Source organism: Homo sapiens, chromosome 17, assembly GCF_000001405.40.
Source record: "Homo sapiens chromosome 17, GRCh38.p14 Primary Assembly".
NCBI classification, from domain to species: Eukaryota; Metazoa; Chordata; class Mammalia; order Primates; family Hominidae; genus Homo; species Homo sapiens.
This window is the reverse complement of record NC_000017.11, coordinates 71015696-71034141: the sequence shown is the minus strand read 5'-3', so window position 1 is coordinate 71034141 and position 18446 is coordinate 71015696. Positions and strand designations below refer to the sequence as shown.

The following is an 18446-nucleotide window of genomic DNA, read 5'->3' as shown; positions in this document are numbered from 1 at the left end:
AAGGATTTCTTAAATGAATAAAGGAGAAAAATACATGCATTCCTCACTTGCCACGAGTGCTTTCTGGACAGCTGTTGCTCCAGCATATTCAATAGAAGGCCTGGAACATGATAGATTATTTTGAATATTGCTTGAATAATGTCGAATAAATGAAGAACAAATTAATTAAGAAACTTTCAAGTCAAAAGACCTCTTTTTATCCTTGAAGAATTTGTCTTTCCTAATTTTCATTCTCTTTCTCCTTTTTCTTTTTCATCACCCTTGTTGTCTGTATCGTTTGTGTTGGCTTCATGCTCAGTATCAGCCTCATATTTATCAGCAAACATTCACTGAAGGCTTACCATTTTGTTCAATTAGAGTTTTTCAAATCAAATGTATTGATGTCATTGTCCCTGCTCTACTTTGCTGTGAAAAGGAAGTGTCTGGTTACCATTGTAAATTCCACTGGGCATTTGATCGCTAACACATAAACCTGAACGTTTTCTCTCTGACCATTTCTCTGCTCTAAAGCAGATCATTAAATTGCTCCCAGGCAGAAAGAACAGGACCAGAACAGCAGGGCACTTTTGTAACAAGACCTTGTAAATTGAAAGCCCTAGATACTTTTCCCACTGTGAGGACCCGCTGAGACTGGTTCCTTTTAACATTGCATTAATAGGCCCTTCAGACTCACTTAATTAAAGACAGTATATCTAGGCAGACTTTCATCGCTTAGAAGGATCATGTGCGTGGCAACTCTTAAAAACCAGCACTTATCTTTAAGGTCATTTTATTCTATTGAAACGTACATCGGTCACATATTTTTGTTAGTTTCCATGTCTTCTGAAAAACATAGTATCTGTCTTACGTATAGGACCATGGACCTGGAATGGGCTGTATTAAGAAATCAATCATGCCCTTGAATTTATACATGTTTTTCCATAACAAAGTCAGATGTGAGGGCCTTCTAGCTGTGATTAACCAAGTCCATTTGTTAAATCCCTGCTGGTTAAAGGAAAGGCTTATAATTGCAAATATCATGGCCATACAGTTACAAACTGGGAGCCTGCTGGGAAATGCAGACCTTAATGTAGAGGTGTCATTAAAACCTCCAAGTCAGTCAAGGTAGTTAATCACTCAATTAGACTCTCATTATCATCTGCCCTGCATCAAAAAGGCTTCCCGCAGTCAAGGAGGGGTTGTAACCAGTCACTCTGACAGGTGATCCCCTCCTCAAATACAATGGCTACAATAGGCCTTGGAGGAGTTATCAGCATGATGTGGCCTGTATCTAAGCTGAAACAGACGCCCATGGGAGTTTGGACAGCCCTAACTGAGGAGATCAAAGGCAGGGAAACAGCTGATCCCAGACTAGCTGGTGTCAGCCTGGTGATTCCTCTGTCAAAGGCAGATGGAGAATCAACTTATTGATTGCTGGCCTTGGTGTTCATCCTGGAATTAAAGGTCTGGCCTGGGGGAATATTCAGGAGGAATGTCTGGCTTTAGAGGCCATGGTAGCACAGATATTAACAATCGCAAGCCCTTGCTTCGCAAAAAAAAAAAAAAAAAAAAAAACCTGCTCGAGAAAATTGGGGGTAAAATTAACATTTTCCCACCACACTGTGGCAGGCAAAGAAGAGAAAAAACAGCAATTGGTATAGCCCAGATCTATTGAAATATTTTCCAAATACAGAGTTGGTCTTTTACGGTGGAATAATTTACTGGGGAGCCCAATAACTAATTGACAATTCCATGGGGCAATTAACATAATAAATGGAATGTTGCTGAATATGTAACCAACCATATTCTCCAAAATATTTAAGCCATGCTGAAATAGGGGTGTGTATATTGTCCTGACATAATATTTTAACCTTTTTCCTAAAGGGTCAAATACACCAAAGTTAATTACTTAATGCAAGGAAAGTCTCCAAGGGAAAAGTACAGCTGGATTTCAGGATATTCCAAAGAGAATTTGTCAAATTGGTCTTTACTTGTTACTAATTTTAGTAAGTCAAGTAAAAACTATCTTCTACTGCTACTATCTTGAAGACAAATTATCTTAAGGTTCACAGTACAGTAGAGTAGAAAGGTGTGATCTTTTGTTTGCCATCACAAGGGTCACGGCCACACTTTTGTAACAAAAGATAGGTTAACAAGAGAAAAACATAATAAATTTTTTAATCAAGGTTTTATCTGACATGAGAATCTTTAGACATGAAGACTCAAAGACCCAAGGGAAAACAATCTATGTATTTTTTATTTTATTTTTTATTTTTTAAGTATTGATAATACTTTAGTGTTTAGAATGGCTATTTTCCCTAAATTCCTTTTTTTAAATTATACTTTAAGTTCTGGGATACATGTGCTCAATGTGCAGGTTTATTACTGAGGCATACATGTGCCATGGTGGTTTGCTGCACCTATCAACCCGTCATTCAGGTTTTAAGCCCCGCATGTATTAGGTATTTGTCCTAATGCTATCCCTCCCTTGCCCCCCACCCCCTGACAGGCCCCAGTGTGTGATGTTCCCCTCCCTGTGTCTGTGTGTTCTCATTGTTCAATTCCCACTTATGAGTGAGAACATGTGGTGTTCGGTTTTCTGTTCCTGTGTTAGTTTGCTGAGGATGATGGTTTCCAGCTTCATCCATGTCCCTGCAAAGGACATGAACTCATTCTTTTTTATGGCTGCGTAGTATTCCATGGTGTATATGTGCCATATTTTATTTATCCAGTCTATCATTGATGGGCATTTGGGTTGGTTCCAAGTCTTTGCTATTGTAAATAGTGCTGCAGTAAATATACATGTGCATATGTCTTTATAGTAGAATGATTTATAATCCTTTGGGTATATACCCAGTAATGGGATTGCTGGGTCAAATGGTATCTTTATGTTTAGGTTTGATGCAGAATGGACAGTCGTGTGGAACTGTGATTGGACAAAAATGGAATGATATAACAGGAATAGACTGAGAGGGGAAAGCAAGCAAGCCCTGTCTGTTCAGATTCTTTATGGCCTTTCTGTGTGACCTTCCTTCTCCCAGGTATAGGGCAGAACCCCTTCTTCAATGATGGTCTCGTGATGTACCTTCAGACAAGATAGGTGAGAGAATTTCTTATGGACAGCCCTTACAGAGAAAGGCAACAGAAGTTTAGAGCAATATTTCTAGGTTTTATGGCGGCTCTGGGGGATAGGGGTTCTTGTTTCTCTGACCTGCCTTGGGGAAGAGGAATTCTAGATTTTTGGGCTGGCTTGAGGAAGGAAGGGAAGCAGGAGAAAGAAGAGCAGGAGAAGGTCAGAACCAGACTTTGCTTCTGAGGCCCTTCCAATGTCCTTCAGTTCAAAGTTCTCATCATACCAAAGCGCCATGTTTTGGGGTATCATTTATTGATCCCTAACCGTACTTATTTATCCATTCAAAAAATGAGTTCTCTGCATGTGCTAAACCCCTGTAGTAATTAAATCACATTATTTCACTGTTAATGAAGTTTATAATTTAACTTTTTAAAGATACACTCATGGAAACAGTTTCTCTGCTTCTTAATGTGAGTCTTTTTCCCATAGAATTTAACTCCATAATGGACTATCCTGATAAACAGGCTTGGTTAGTTGCAATTTTACCTTCCCTGCCCCTCTTTAAGATACTGTTTTTTCCCAAGTATTCCTTTAACACTTTCAATTATTTACGCTAAAAAATGTTTTTAAGAACATCTGTCAAACCAAGCACTCAAGGGATTCTTTTGCACGTGTGTTGTGTTTTGCAAAATAAAGCCTACTGTCAATAAGTTTGGAAAATGCTAATTTGTTTTTAATAAACTTTCAATTTAGAATATCTTTAGAGTTGCAAAAAAAAAAAAGGAAAGATAGCACAGAGTGCCCTTATACCTCCCATGCTGTTTCCTCTCTTATTAACATCTCACATTAGTATGGTATATATTTGTCACCATTAATGAACCGACATTGATAGATTACTATTAACTAAAGTACATCATTTATTCAGGTTTTTCTCACTTCTTACTAAAGTTATTCTTTTGATACTAGGATTCCATTCAATACATCCTACCACATTTAGTTATTATGACTCCTAAGGACCGTCTTGTCTGTGGCAAGTTCTTGGATCTTTTTTGTTTTTGATGACCTAGATAGTTTTGAGTATTACAGATGGTAGTTTGTAGAATGCTGCTTTACTGGTATTTGTTGGAAATTTTTGTTTGTTTATTTAAATTATTAGACTGGGGTTATGAGTTTTTGGGAGGAAGACCACAGAGGTAAAGTGTCATTTACATTACACCATCTCAAGGATGCATCTTATCAACATAACTTATCTCTGTGGATGTTAGCTTTGATTACCTGGGTGAGATAGTGTTTGTCAGATTTCTCCGCCATAAAGTTATTCTTTTACTCCCTGTCTGTACTGTTCTCTTTACAGCAAAGTGAACATAGGCAGCCTAAACATAAGAAGTGAGGAGTTAGGCCCCACTTCCCTGAGGGCAGCGTATCTACATAAATTATTTGAAATCCTTCTGTGTGGGAGATTTTTCTATTCTCCTGCATTTATTTATATATAAAATAATTAATTGATACCAGTATGCACTCATGGGTTTTTCTTTTATACTTTGTGATACAATCCAACACTATCAACTATTATGTAGGATTTATAAAAAGTTCCTTCTGCCTTTGGTTTCATGGATTCAACTCATTTCCAAAATTAATTAATGAAGTCAGCACTTTTATCCTCCACCTTCTTGAGTAAGGTTGTTTCATACATTTGTAATTTAGTCAGGTTACATTCTGGGATCCTGCAGCTTCCTAAAATAATTTATTTAAAGATCATTATTTTGTAATACAGTAAGGTTACATTTTGGGATCCTCCAGCTTCCTAAAATAATTTCTTTAAGGATCATTATTTGTGCTGAAAAGGTCTGTGGATTTTCACAAATGTTTAGTGTGCTATGTCCACAATCACAATATTATATAGAATTGTTTCACGACCTTAAAAGTTCAAGTCTCAAAACTGAAGAACTTGGAGTCCGATATTTGAAGGCAGAAAACATCCAGCACAGGACAAAGAGATATATATATATATATATGTGTGTGTGTGCGTGTGTGTGTGTGTGTGTGTGTGTGTGTGCGTGTGTGTAGAGAGAGAGATCTGTCCTATTCTGTCCCTCTAGAGAACCCTAATACACAAATAAATTATGTACTTTTAGGTTTTCTTATAATCTCAGAAACATGTTATCTTTATTTCTGATAAATATTTAATTGTGAGAGTTACTGAAATTACTTTTTTTCTCTTTGAGGGTGGCAATTTTATTACTTTTCTCTAACAGCTAGTCAGTTAGCTTTCTATTTGTTTATTTTTAAATGACAGATAAAATTGTTTGCATTTATCTTGTATAACCTTGTTCTGAAGTATATGCATAAGTACTTTAAAATTACTTTTATATATCCAGTATCCCATAGCTTCTTTTTATGTGGTAAAATGAATTTTTAATTGATTTAGTGTTTTTGCATAACATAGGATTTGCATTTAAAATACAAAGATAAAAATAAAAAACAAAACACACAAGTCCTCTAACTGAGGAACTTATATTGTTATTGCAGAGAAAAAATATTTTCAGGTATTGATCAAATAATAGTTTATAATAATGCATTAAATAATTGATAAAGACTGGAAAATGCTTCAGGAATTTTGAAATATTACTTAACCAAAGAATTCTCCTTTGAAACATTCAGACAAAAAAGCAAGGCAGAATTGCATTGGCTATAAAGGGTAGAAAATTGGGGACACGCAAATTTGCCTTTACCCTCCTTTTTACCTCACTTCTCTTCCACCAATTATAGCTCAAAATGTGATTCTAAGATATATATAAGTCTTTGAGGAACTAATTCCCAAATCTCTGTCATCTATAGGTATTTGGGGAAGATATTGCAAAATGCAGACTAAAATGTATTGGAAAGGCTCTATCAGAGTAGTTGAAATTTGTGTTTTCACCTTAAGGTTTGAGTAGTATTTGGGTAGATGAGCAGATGAATCCAGAAATGCTTAGGAGTGAAACTGACAGTATTAGCAAAAGCAGGAAACATGAGTTTGGCAAAATATAATACAAACAGAAGACAATGCAAGATGCCTGGTTTAGGAAGTTTCATTACTGGGAATGCTGAACTGGAATTAAATTCTGGAGAATTCAAATGTAGTCAGTTTAAAATGGAAGAAATTCTTAAATTATCAAATACAATATAGTTTATATTGGTTAATCTAGTAGTGATTTGTAGTAGTCATTAAAAATATGAGAGACTGGACACGGTGGCTCATGCCTGTAATCCCAGCATTTTGGGAGGCCAAGACAGGAGGATTGCTTGAGCCCAGAAGTTAGACACCTGCCTGGGGAATAGAGTGAGACCCAATCTCTACAAAATACTAAAAAAAAAAAAAAAATTAGCTGGGCATGGTGGCACACACCTACAGTTCCAGCTACATGGGAGGCTGAGGTGGGAGGACTCCTTCAGCCTGGGGAGATCAAGGCTGCAGTAAGCTGTGATCACGCCACTGCACCCCAGCTGGGGAAACAGAGCAAGACTCTGTCTCAAAATAAGAAAAAAAAGAAAAGAAATATAAAAGACTAGATCCCCAAATCCTCTGAGAAGAATGAATTGTGGATTTCTGTTGAGTTCCTGGCGAGCATTTCTTTCTTAGGGTTTTAACTGTCCACTATGCCATGTAATCCTGAGGTCACTTCAATTTTGTGACCTTTTCCTAAGGCCCGAATGAGACCCAAAACCGATCTATTAAGAAGCCCTATTCCTCTAGTCAGAATAATTTTATTTAATTATGGACACATGCCCCATGCTATTCTCCCCTGGCAATATTCTGACATTGGAGACAACAATCTCTTACTTGTAATAGTGCTGAAAGAATGGGAAGACAAGCTGTTGGCCAGCCATGATGAAGAAAGTTGGCCGGGCCTGGTGGCTCACGCCTGTAATCGCAACACTGTGGGAGGCCGAGGTGGGTGAATCACCCGAGGTCAGGAGTTCGAGACCAGCCTGGCCAACATGGTAAAACCCCATCTCTACTAAAAATAAAAACATAAAAAATAAAAAAAATTAGGGGCATGGTGGCAGGTGCCTGTAATCCCAGCTACTCAGGAGGCTGCGGCAGGAAAATCGCTTGAACTCGGGAGGTGGAGGTTGCAGTGAGCTGAGATTGCACCATTGCACCCTAGCCTTGGCAACAAGAGTGGAACCCCATCTCAAAAAACGAAAAAAGAAACTTAACTGTAGTGGGAGGGAATGAGGTTAATCCCTGAGATTATCCCACAGGTGAAAAGAATAAAGAGAGAAAAAAAACCTTGATGAAATAGTTTGGGTGTTGAGACCCAGCTGAGCCTGAAGTCATTCCATATCAATACTTTTTTTAAAAGCCGTTTTTAATTTTTATTTTTTAACTAGTCTAAATTGGGTTATGCCACTTTAAATTGGTTTGCTGGGTTTAGGCTGGTAACTGCAATAACAACCTAACAGTTATTTACACAGCACCAACTCTGACAGCTACTGTAGTAGAAACTGTCAAATAATTTATTCTAAACTTATAATAATTTTATTTAAACTTTATAACACCCATCATAAAAACTAAATAAGATGTCATGTGTTTTTCTTCATTTATAAAAAAGGACAATAAAATCAAGAGAGCTTGAACAACTCCTCCAAATTTGCAGAACTAGTACCTGGAAATTCAGGGACATGAACCCGTATCTGTGTGTAACCAAATTCTATGAGTTTTTTAGAGTACACGGTTTTGCCTCTGGGAAGCAGAAAGGAAAGTTGATCTAAGAGACTTTCTCAAGAACAGTAAATAAATGATGGGATCCAGTGACTGCTGAACATGAAGAGTAAAAAAAAAAAAAAAAAAAAAAGAAGGTTTGGGAATCAAAGAAAATGACATTTAAATCGAAGATATTTAGAAAACTGAAAATCAAGTAGGCTTTTTGGAGAACAGGATAGGATCAATTCAATTTGAAGTATGTGGAGTTTCAAGCAATGGTAGAACATTTAAGCGGAAGTGGCCATGAGAAAGTAGAGACACAAGAGTGAAGTTCAAATGAACGTGAGAATTAAAGAAGAGCAGACTAATAACCTTGGTGTGGGGAAAGCAAACTTGTAATTCACTGATCCCTTCTTATTGCTAGAGCTGGTGAGAAGGCTGTCTCTTGCCTTCTATGAGAACCTGGGGCAGCCGGTAGCTATTTCTCCAGCTGAATTCAGAACACCACTCTGCAATTGAAGATAATGAGGCAACACATAAACAGAGCTGATGGATGGAAGAGGAAGATGACTGTTCAGAAATGCTCAATTAAAAAGAAATCCAGTCCTGTGTTGCAATGTTTATTAAAATGCTGTGGAAACCACAGCTGAGAAGTCCAGGCAAATTTTAAGTAGTTGAACTCACTGAATAATTATAAGAGTCTTAGGCCTTTCTTCCCTTCCTTTTTCCATGCCGCAAAGTGCTCCAGGGCCACCTTATTCTACGGGTATTGTTTTCCATAATGAGCAAGGTTTCTTAGCACAATAATTTTAAGAGAAATATTTAGTAACTGGAAATTAAGAGTTTTTTTAAACTCTTAAAACTCTTATTTCAATATTTAAATATTTCTTGTCAAGTTTTTCTAATTTAAGAGCTTAGAAAGGAAATTAATAAATGCTAATATTCCTCAAATGAATCCATTCAGTGGTTCATTTATTCATTCATTCTTTTCCTAAGCTTGCATATGTGTGTGCTTTATGTAAAGATTTGATTAAAAATGTGTAATAATTTATGAAAATGTTAATATATGATACATGTTAATATATAAAGAAAATATAATTAACAAATTTTGTTTTCCAATAAGTGAAATAAACAAGTATTTGCTCATAGCACATTCTTACCTCAGTTGAAATTGAATCTACTACAATTGTTGAAAGTAATGAAATTATCAACAGGTAGGAAAAATGTCTTTACTCCCATAGCCCCAATTCATTACAATTAAAATAAAGGACATTGATAATAGACACTCAAAATCCAAGGTTATCTCCTTTACAGTGTTTGAATCCGTTTATTTATGCTTCATGCATTAAAACCCCTAATAATAATAATTCTTTGCTTCCTTTTTTTTTTCTTTTTGGTACAGAAAGATGTACCTGTTGTAATTGAATGCGAGGAACTGTAAAGGATATGAATCTGTGAAGAGTCCTTCCCAACCCAGCCATTAAATACTAATTTTCAGTTGGAATAGAAAAGTAAATACTATAAACTCTGTTTTAATGACATTTAAATCGATTTTAACTGAGTTATTTATTTAAAATATATACAAATGGCATTTCAACTATTCTACAGAAATCAATTTCAGTCACTCATTCACTTTTTCAATTTATAGCTGTCCCTGATTGTTTGGTCTTCTCTCTTTAGTCCTTTTGCAAATGGCTTGTTTTGAAAACATCTTCAGTAACTTTTTAATGTACTCCTCTATCCATCTATTCAAAACAAAAGAAAATAGAACAATACCTTGCAAAGTTGGGAAACTTAATAACATTAGCAAACTACCTATCATATGCCCTAGAATCTATCATGCAATTGTTAAATGATATTATCTTTAATAATAATTATTATTAATAACAAGTACATTTTACAAATTGAATAAAATGCCTGCATAGTGTCTGTGTGTTTATTTGGTCCTGGAATGCAGGGGTCAACATAAGCATCTGGGAAGAACCACTAGAACCGTGTCTGAAAGTATATACGGCAAGGCATAGTGGTTGAGAGCAAAGGTTTCAGATTTCAGCTGACTTGGTCTAAATGCTGTTTCTTCTGTTTACTGAGCTGGATGACAGTGGGCAGGTTGATCTTTCTGTACCCCATTTTCTTAATCTGTAAAATGGGCGATAATAATACCATCTCTTAAGGACTCTTAGAGGATTAAATTACTTAATATATGTAAAATCCTTAGAAGAATAGCTGGCAGAGAATGAATGCTACATCACTATTTTTGAGTGCTTTTATATTAATGTGGCATTCTGAAAGTATCAAGTCATCTTCCTAATCATCATTATTTGCTCTTGGCTTATGACAGCAGAATATGTAAACCTTTTACCTTTAAAACTCCAGCAGTTTGCCACTAACCATTATTTTTCTTTTCTCTCACTAATGGTAAGAAATACATGCTAAACGCAGTGGCCGTGGGAGTGCAGAAGGAGCACGGAGCTTGTTTTAAGCCAGGACTCCCTGCTGGAGTACATAGGAGAGGCCCAGATGGGGGCAGCTGTCGAGGCAGTGATGTATGACAAATGACTTGCTGCTGCAATGGATCATCAGAGGCTGGCTACACTGGTGACATGTCACAGTCATACATCATCAGAGCAATGCCTGGCAGGAGCAGCAGCCTGAAAACCACCCTGCCCCATAAATTTTAATACAGCCAAATAAAAAAGCTGTACTTTTCTTTTCTTCTAAATTAAAGATTGACACTCAGGAAAGGAGGGACAGAGGACTCTTTCATATGACCAGGTTGCTTTCCAAGACCCCAGAGGCACTGAGGTCCTCTATTAATATGCACTGTCATCGGTGCTCCACAATAAATGAAAAACAAAACAAAACAAAACCAAAACCCCAGGTACCTTAGTTTGACTCAACCAGACTGGACCCAGTGTATGACTTCCTGGCACAGTCTGCCCTGTGAGGTAGAGACATCCTATATTAATCTATGGAAAACTGTTAGAAGCAGTGAGTTGCGTTGTTACTGATTACTTGCCTGTAGTCAGCCGATGAGAGTGCATTAAAGTTTGCTATAATCTGTGAGGCATGCTGAGCAGTTTAGATCTCAGCGGAGGTGGATATAGCTAGTCCACTAAACAGCTTTGGTAAGTTTTTACCAAAATGGCAATTTCCTTACTAGGTTTTAGGATACAACCGTGAATGAAGCATTCCAGTAGCTTGCTTTTCAGTTGGGTTTAAGAGGAGATACTAAAAATGAACAAAAAATGAGTAAGATATGAATTCCAACTATTGATAAGAAATAAAAAAAGGGTGATAAAGAAATAAAAATAGGGTGATGAGATAGAGATCAGGTGTCCGCTTTAACTAAAGTGGTCAGGAAAGGTATCCCTAAAAAGGTTAGCTATGATTTGAGACCTCAATGATAAGAAGCAGGCAGCCAAGGAAATTTCAGATAACGAAGTGCCCCAGGCAGAGAAATGGCAAATGCAAAGTCCAGAGACAATAATGGATATGCCAAATTTAAATCAGAAGGGAGACACTGTAGCATATGCATAACAAACGTGGGAAGAATTGAGATAGTAGAGGACAGATGGGTAGACAAGTTTCAGTTCATCCAGTGTCTTGTAAGCCATACTGAGGAGTCTGGATAATCTGATTGTAAACAATTAGAAGGATTTTTTTTGTGTTTTTTTGTTTGTTTGTTTTTTTGTTTTTTTTGAGATGGAGTCTCACTCTGTCACCCAGGCTGGAGTGCAATGGCACTATCTAGGCTCTCTGCAACCTCCACCTCCCAGGTTCAAGCAATTCTCCTGCCTCAGCCTCCTGAGTAGCTGAGACTACAGGCATGTGCCACCACGTCCAGCTAATTTTTGTATTTTTAGTAGAGATGGGTTTTCACCATGTTGGTCAGGATGATCTTGATCCCTTGACCTCGTGATCCACCCGCCTCGGCCTCACAAAGTGTTGGAATTACAGGCGTGAGCCACTATGCCCAGCCAATTAGAAGATTTTAAGCAGGGTAAGGATGTGAGAACACTCCCAATTTGGAAAGAAAAAAAAATATTCTTGTTGCTATGTGAAGAGAATATTGAGATGGGTAGCATTGAAGGCAGCGGTAGCAAGACCAAAGGTAGAGAGACGAGTTAGAAAGCTTAACTAGCGTAACTGGATAAGTCACAATAATCCAGGTAACAGATGACTGACCTTGTTCAGCAATTTTAGCAGTATGATGATAGAAAGTGTTTGGATTTACAAAATATTTTGGAGGCAGAGGCGATGTGACTCATTCATGGAGTAGATGTTTTGCATGATGAAGGGAACAGAACCAGGGAAATGTCTTTAGATTCTACTTCTACATGACAAAGTGGTGGTAATGTTGTTTACTAAAATGTCTAAAAAACTTTGGAAGAACCTTCTGAGTGAAAATGAATATGTTGCTTTTTGATGGCATTCTGTTGAGATGGAAATTCAGTATCCTAGCAGAATTCTCAAGTACGTAGTTGGATAGAGGACTCTGGAGCTCAGGGGACAGGTCTGGAGATCAAAATTTGAGATTCTTTATCCTGAGATTTAGGTAAAGCTGTAAAAGAGAGGAAGGCATGAGGAGGGAGCTCTGGGACATTCTAATATGTTGAGATTTGGTAAGGGAGAAGGGGCAAATAAAAGAGAGGAAGAAAGGGTGATAAGAAGAGGTAGAAAATCAAGCAAGGTGAGCGTTGGGGTTGAAAAAAACCTAGAGAACAAAGAGTTTCAGGAAGGAGGGACTGGTCATCTGCTGCTGGGCCACTGACGTTAAAAGGTAATTTAGAATGAACATGGAGAATGAACATCATCTTCCAAAGGATGAATTTTGTCTGTAACATTATTATGAGAAATGTTTATAGTGTGATGGTAATGAAAGTCCATTTGGCAAATCTGAGCACAGGACAGAAGCTGAGGAAGTAGGAATCAGACTATAGACAACTCTTTGGATGGCCGTTTCTAGCAAATGAAATGGAGAAATGGAATAGTAACTGAAGGTAGATGTTGGAGTTTATGAAATTTCTTTTAAAGGTGGGTGATATTAAGGCATATTTGAGTAAGGGAGGAGACCACCCCTCATATTGTCTTATGCTCAATTTCTGCCTCCAAAGAAAGAAGAAGTAAAAACTAAAAGGCAGAAATGAAATCCACAAGCAGATAGCCTGCCGCCACACCCTGGGCCTGGTAGTTAAAGATCGACCCCTGACCTAATCGGTTATGTTATCTATAGATTACAGACATTGTATAGAAAAGCACTGTAAAAATCCATGTCCCGTTCTGTTCTAATTACCGGTGCATGCAGCCCCCGGTCACGTACCCCCTGCTTGCTCAATCGATCACGACCCTCTCACACAGACCCACTTAGAGTTGTGAGCCCTTAAAAGGGACAGGAATTGCTTACTTGGGGAGCTTGGTTGTTGGAGATGTGAGTCTTGCTGAAGCTCCCGGCTAAATGAAGCCCTTCCTTCCTTAACTCGGTGTCTGAGGGGTTTTGTCTGCAACTTGTCCTGCTACATGAGTACTAATGTAAATGAACCATTAGAAGGTGAGACAGAAGTAAAAGGAGGGAGTTCTAGGAGTGAGGTCCTAACAAGGTATGAAAGTATGGATCCAGAGTATCCATGCTCTTAGATAAGAGCAGAGAAAGTTCATAGATTTTAAAGAGAGAGATGACACAACATGTGATACAGATGCAGGTATTTTGGTGGATGTAGCTGTAATAAGATAAGGCACTGGATTGGATCTATTTTATTAAATATGAATCAAATTTTCAGCTGAGAATGAGAAAAATTTCAGGAAAGAGACAGTGGAGAAATGTCACCTTTGAGAAGGGAAAATAATTAGATTAAAATGCTAAAATTGTCTGGAAATGTGAGAGGCTTCTCTGGGATTTGTGGTCATGAAGTTGTTACGTGTGTTACTTCAAAGAGTATTCAGATTTTCAGATCTAGGCATTGAGTAAATGATTGATTGGGTTAATTAGGGATAGATATTGCCAACATTTCACTGAAGCACAGAGGAGCATAGGAATTCAGAGTATATGCAAGGGACTGGTTATAGTACTAGACCATGGAGGATGGTTGTTTAAAAAGGGAAATGAAGACTCAGATGCAAAGGGATTTTATGCATACAGAAAACATAATGCTTTTGATGGCTTGGAGGTATGGGTGAATCAGTCAATTTCTGGAGTGAGAGAAGCAGAGTAAGTGAAATGACTAGTAGTAGATGGATGGTCAAAGCAGCAGGGTTTGAAATTAAGATTTTCAAATTGGTGTAGTTACTGGTGATTAAAAGTCTTGAGTGTGACCATGTGAGTCAATGGCTTTTTTAGTGAAATGAGAGAAGAAACATTGTAGAATCTAAAGAAGTGAAGGAATTGGTGGGCTGTTGGTGGTTCATTTAGATGGATATCAGAATTGTCAAGAATGATAGTAAACAAAGAGGTGAAAGCAAGACAGTAATTGAGATGCAAAATATCCACCTGCTAGGTCCTCCTGAATTCAGCGCTCCCTACACCTAGGGCCCAGATTATTCCACAGGGCTATCTGTTCCACCCCACACTTGGAGAAAGGACCAAAAAGTGCTTCAAAGAAGGGAAATTAAGAGCTGGGGCTCAAGCAGTTCCCTATCTGGGGTGTCATAGATGACACTTCTAAATCATTCCAAAGTGTGGAGGGTCTGAGGTCAGGGCTGGGATTACAGGTACGTGCCACTATGCTTGGCTAATTTTTTTTGTATTTTTAGTAGAGATGGGGGTTTTACCATGTTGGCCAGGCTGGTGTTGAACTCCTGACCTTGGGTGATCTGCTCGCCTCAGCCTCCCAAAGTACTGGGATTACAGGCGTGAGCCACCGCACCTGGCCAACATTTTAATTTTTTTTTTTATGAGAGGGATCACAGTAGGTAAACATCTTTCCTTTCCCGTAAAACACTGGCTTAATTCCTAAAGCATCATTTGCAGACTAATTTATTTCATAGATTTTTGAACCCAATTTGTTTTCGATTGGCAGTATTTCTTTAGGAGAGATCGAGCAGAGAAAGAAAAAGAAATACACGTTTGGGTGAGTAACAGAATTAAAACACACTGGATCCTTTGATAGGTGAGGAGCAGGATTTGTTCAGAGCCAAATCCCTCTAGAATTTTGAAAACAAAAAAAGAACCATTAAGGCATTCGAACCTTTTAACTTTAGAGTTGTAATTAATTTAGGACCATTAACATTATATGCGGAAACAACAAAATTCCCCCACAGCATCTCAATTCTTCAGTGGAAGCATATCCAAAATAAATACTGCCCCTTGATACTGTACCATGAAATACATTTCTAAGAAATCCTTGGCACCTTTTCCCTGAATTTCCAACATGGTCTGCTAAAGAACAAGGTCATGCTTCTCTTCAGTGAAACCACATAGGTACTGCTTCAGGAAAAACAACGAAAAAAAAAAAAAACCCTGAAACTGCAGTCCCAGAGTGCGTTTTCCAGTCAATTATGAGGATGTATTAATGTGCTTTTTTTTTGTTTTTGTTTTTGTTTTTGTTTTTGAGACGGAGTCTTGCTCTGTCGCCCAGGCTGGAGTGCACTGGCATGATCTCGGCTCACTGCAAGCTCCGCCTCCCAGGTTCATGCCATTCTCCTGCCTCAGCCTCCCAAGTAGCTGGGACTACAGGCGCCCGCCACCACGCCCGGCTAATTTTTTTTTTGTATTTTTAGTGGAGACGGGGTTTCACCATGTTAGCCAGGATGGTCTCGACCTCCTGACCTCGTGATCCACCCACCTCGGCCTCCCAAAGTGCTGGGATTACAGGCGTGAGCCACTGCGCCCGGCCGATGTATTAATGTTTTTTATATTACCCAAAAGATGTTTGCGATAGCATCCGTAGCAAAGGGATTTCTCCCAGTATTTTAGAAGTATTTTTCTAATGATGCTGCATCCTGATCTCTATTCTGTCTGTCTTTGTGTGTCTCTCCTTATGTTTCTCTGTCTTGCTCTCTATTTCCCTCTCTGTCTGTCTCTCCTCCTGTTCAGCCAGCGTCTACAGAATTTGGAAACAAGATATTTCTGCAAACCAAGCAACAGATTCACCCACATTTCAGGATTTTAGAGCATTTATCTTAGCGCTGGATTATGATGTCATTTAAATAAATTATTTAACAACACTGACTCCATTGTTTTTCTTTTAATTTTCGGCAGGGATATGAATTAGGAAAACATTATTTATGGTAGAAGGAATTATGCAGATAAATGGTAAAAAGCATATATTAAGCATATAGATATGTTCCTTTATTTAAAGGAAAATGTACAGATGTTTTGATATTATAATATAGACATAGACATAGAGAATCTGGATATTTGTTAATGATTCATGCCTCATAGCTCTTACAGCGCTTTCTATAATGTTGGGGAATTTTAAGCCTTAGAAAACAGAATCTCTCTCCCTGACCATCTCCCACTCTCTTTTCACCTGTTTCTTTTTCTCCCCATGGCAGGAATCTTCCCTTACCTTTCCATCTTGGAGCTGGCCATAAAGAAATTATCTGACCCACCTTGTCTGATTGTGGGCCATAAGACCCCCATTTCAGAAGGGGTCCTGCCCCATACCCTAGAGGAAGGAACAATGCACAGAGACCAAGAAGAATCGGAACAGACAGGACTTGCTGGGTTTCCCCACTCAGTCCATTAGTGTAAGACCGTGCTCTTTCTGTCCAATCACATTTCCACACAGTGGTCAATCATGCCTATCCAATAAAGTCTCCATAAAAGGCCCAAGAAGGCAGGATTTGGAAGCCACGATTGCGCCACTGCACTCCAGCCTGGATGATAGAGGGAGGTTCCATCTCAAAAAAAAAAAAAAAAAAAAAGAAAAGAAAAGAAAATTAAAATGTCAAAGTTGTCTCTATTATGCAGTGTTTTCACTCATAGAAGGGAAGGAAGGAGTGTCTTGTCTTCTTTATGACTAACCATGGCACTTTGTATACTCTATGTCCTAAGGACACCAAACCTCACCTGATATTTTACACAGTCAACTATCAGTTATTCACACTAATGGGTAGGGGGAAAAAAAGGGTAGAGGTACAGGGGAGGGACACCACAGTTAACTCTAAAGAGAGAACACTTTTCAAATGGTTCCATTTGATTTTTGGAGTTTTTATTTGAATATGATGGTAGTGATGTGATATGTGGATTTTTTTTTTCAGTTCTTAAAATAATCTAATGATTCATGTAATGAAGTTTGTTTATTTATTTATTATTTCTTCTTTTTTTTTTTTTTTTTTTTTGAGACAGAGTCTCTGTCGCCCAGGCTGGAGGGCAGTGGCACCATCTCGGCTTACTGCAACCTCCACCTCCTAGGTTGAAGCAATTCGCCTGCCTCAGCCTCCTGAGTAGCTGGGACTACAGGCGCGTGCCACCACGCCCAGCCAATTTTTTGTATTTTTAGTAAAGACAGGGTTTCACCATGTTAGCCAGGATGGTCTCGATCTCCTGACCTCATGATCCGCCCACCTCAACCTCCCAAAGTGCTGGGATTATAGGCGTGAGCCATTGCGCCCAGCCATGTAATGAAGTTTAATGAGGAAAAGTCACCTTTCTCATTTTGCCTTTATGCTTAGCTCTTCTCTTATTTCTGTAAAAGAAATTATTTATATATCACTTCTGAGATTGATTATTCCAAACCACCAACCTGAAGAGAAAAGCAGTCTTTTGCAAATGTTGCTGTTTTACACTTTCCCTAGGGCCAGAGATACTTATTTTGGCCTTTGAAAATTTTTCTACTCCCTAGTCTAACCTTAAGTAAATATCCCGTTTGTTTCCACAAACTGCATAATTAGCAGAACCAATGAAAATATTACTATGAATTTAAAAGCAAAATGTCCATGGATAATCTTTAATTCCAATAATCTGCTCCCAGGTCATTAAGAATTCCTTTATAATTCTTAATTCAAAAGTGGGTCATACACTTTGTACATACCAGTCTTCAAAATGAAAGTCATGGCACTGTTGGCAAAGGCTAGAGAATGTCTAGAAAAATAAGGAAACAGATCTTGGAGTTTCCATGTAAGGAGAGATAAATGATTAGTTATATTTCGTCTAGAAAGCAGGGAGACTATGGAGAAGTAATTGATTATTAGCTTGAGAGTTGTATGAATAAGTGGAGACTTTTCTCAGTCTTTGGACAGTTATTATATATACTCTAATTTTTGGTTCTCCTAGAAAAGACTGCCCCATAGAGTAAAATTGTGAATTGTTTATCTCTGTAACCCTAGGACCTAGCCCAATGCAATACACCTCTCATAATTATTGGGGATTTGAATAAAACTAAATGAATTAAATATTTATTGGGCTATATGATGACTCCAGGCATACTCTTAAAACTTGAGATTTGCCAACGGACAGGAGAGTGGTGAAAAAACTCAGGAAATATATTTATATTTCTCTGCAATTTTACACTTAATTCTAATGACAGTAATTATGATTTATTGAATATTTTATCCTACATTCAGCCCATTGCATACTTTATCCCCCAAATCCTTATAAATTAAAGGAAAAAAGACAAGAGAACATTTATACACATTTAATATGTTAGAAAACTGAAGCTCCGAGAAGTTATGGAATGCATGCAGTTTCACATAGCTGAGATTTAAATCCAGGTCCGTCATCTTCCAAAGGCTAGACACTTTCCTTCATATTGTATCATGTTT

The 18446-nt window shown here is 37.9% G+C and overlaps 2 annotated features.

The window, feature by feature from the left end:
- Positions 226-980: an enhancer, noted in NCBI's record as "OCT4-NANOG hESC enhancer chr17:69029303-69030057 (GRCh37/hg19 assembly coordinates)". NCBI's record gives its function as "activates a minimal SCP1, AML or CMV promoter by ChIP-STARR-seq in naive and primed H9 embryonic stem cells {active_cell/tissue: H9 hESC(naive and primed)}" and the evidence as "EXISTENCE:reporter gene assay evidence [ECO:0000049][PMID:30033119]".
- Positions 981-1737: an enhancer, noted in NCBI's record as "OCT4-NANOG hESC enhancer chr17:69028546-69029302 (GRCh37/hg19 assembly coordinates)". NCBI's record gives its function as "activates a minimal SCP1, AML or CMV promoter by ChIP-STARR-seq in naive and primed H9 embryonic stem cells {active_cell/tissue: H9 hESC(naive and primed)}" and the evidence as "EXISTENCE:reporter gene assay evidence [ECO:0000049][PMID:30033119]".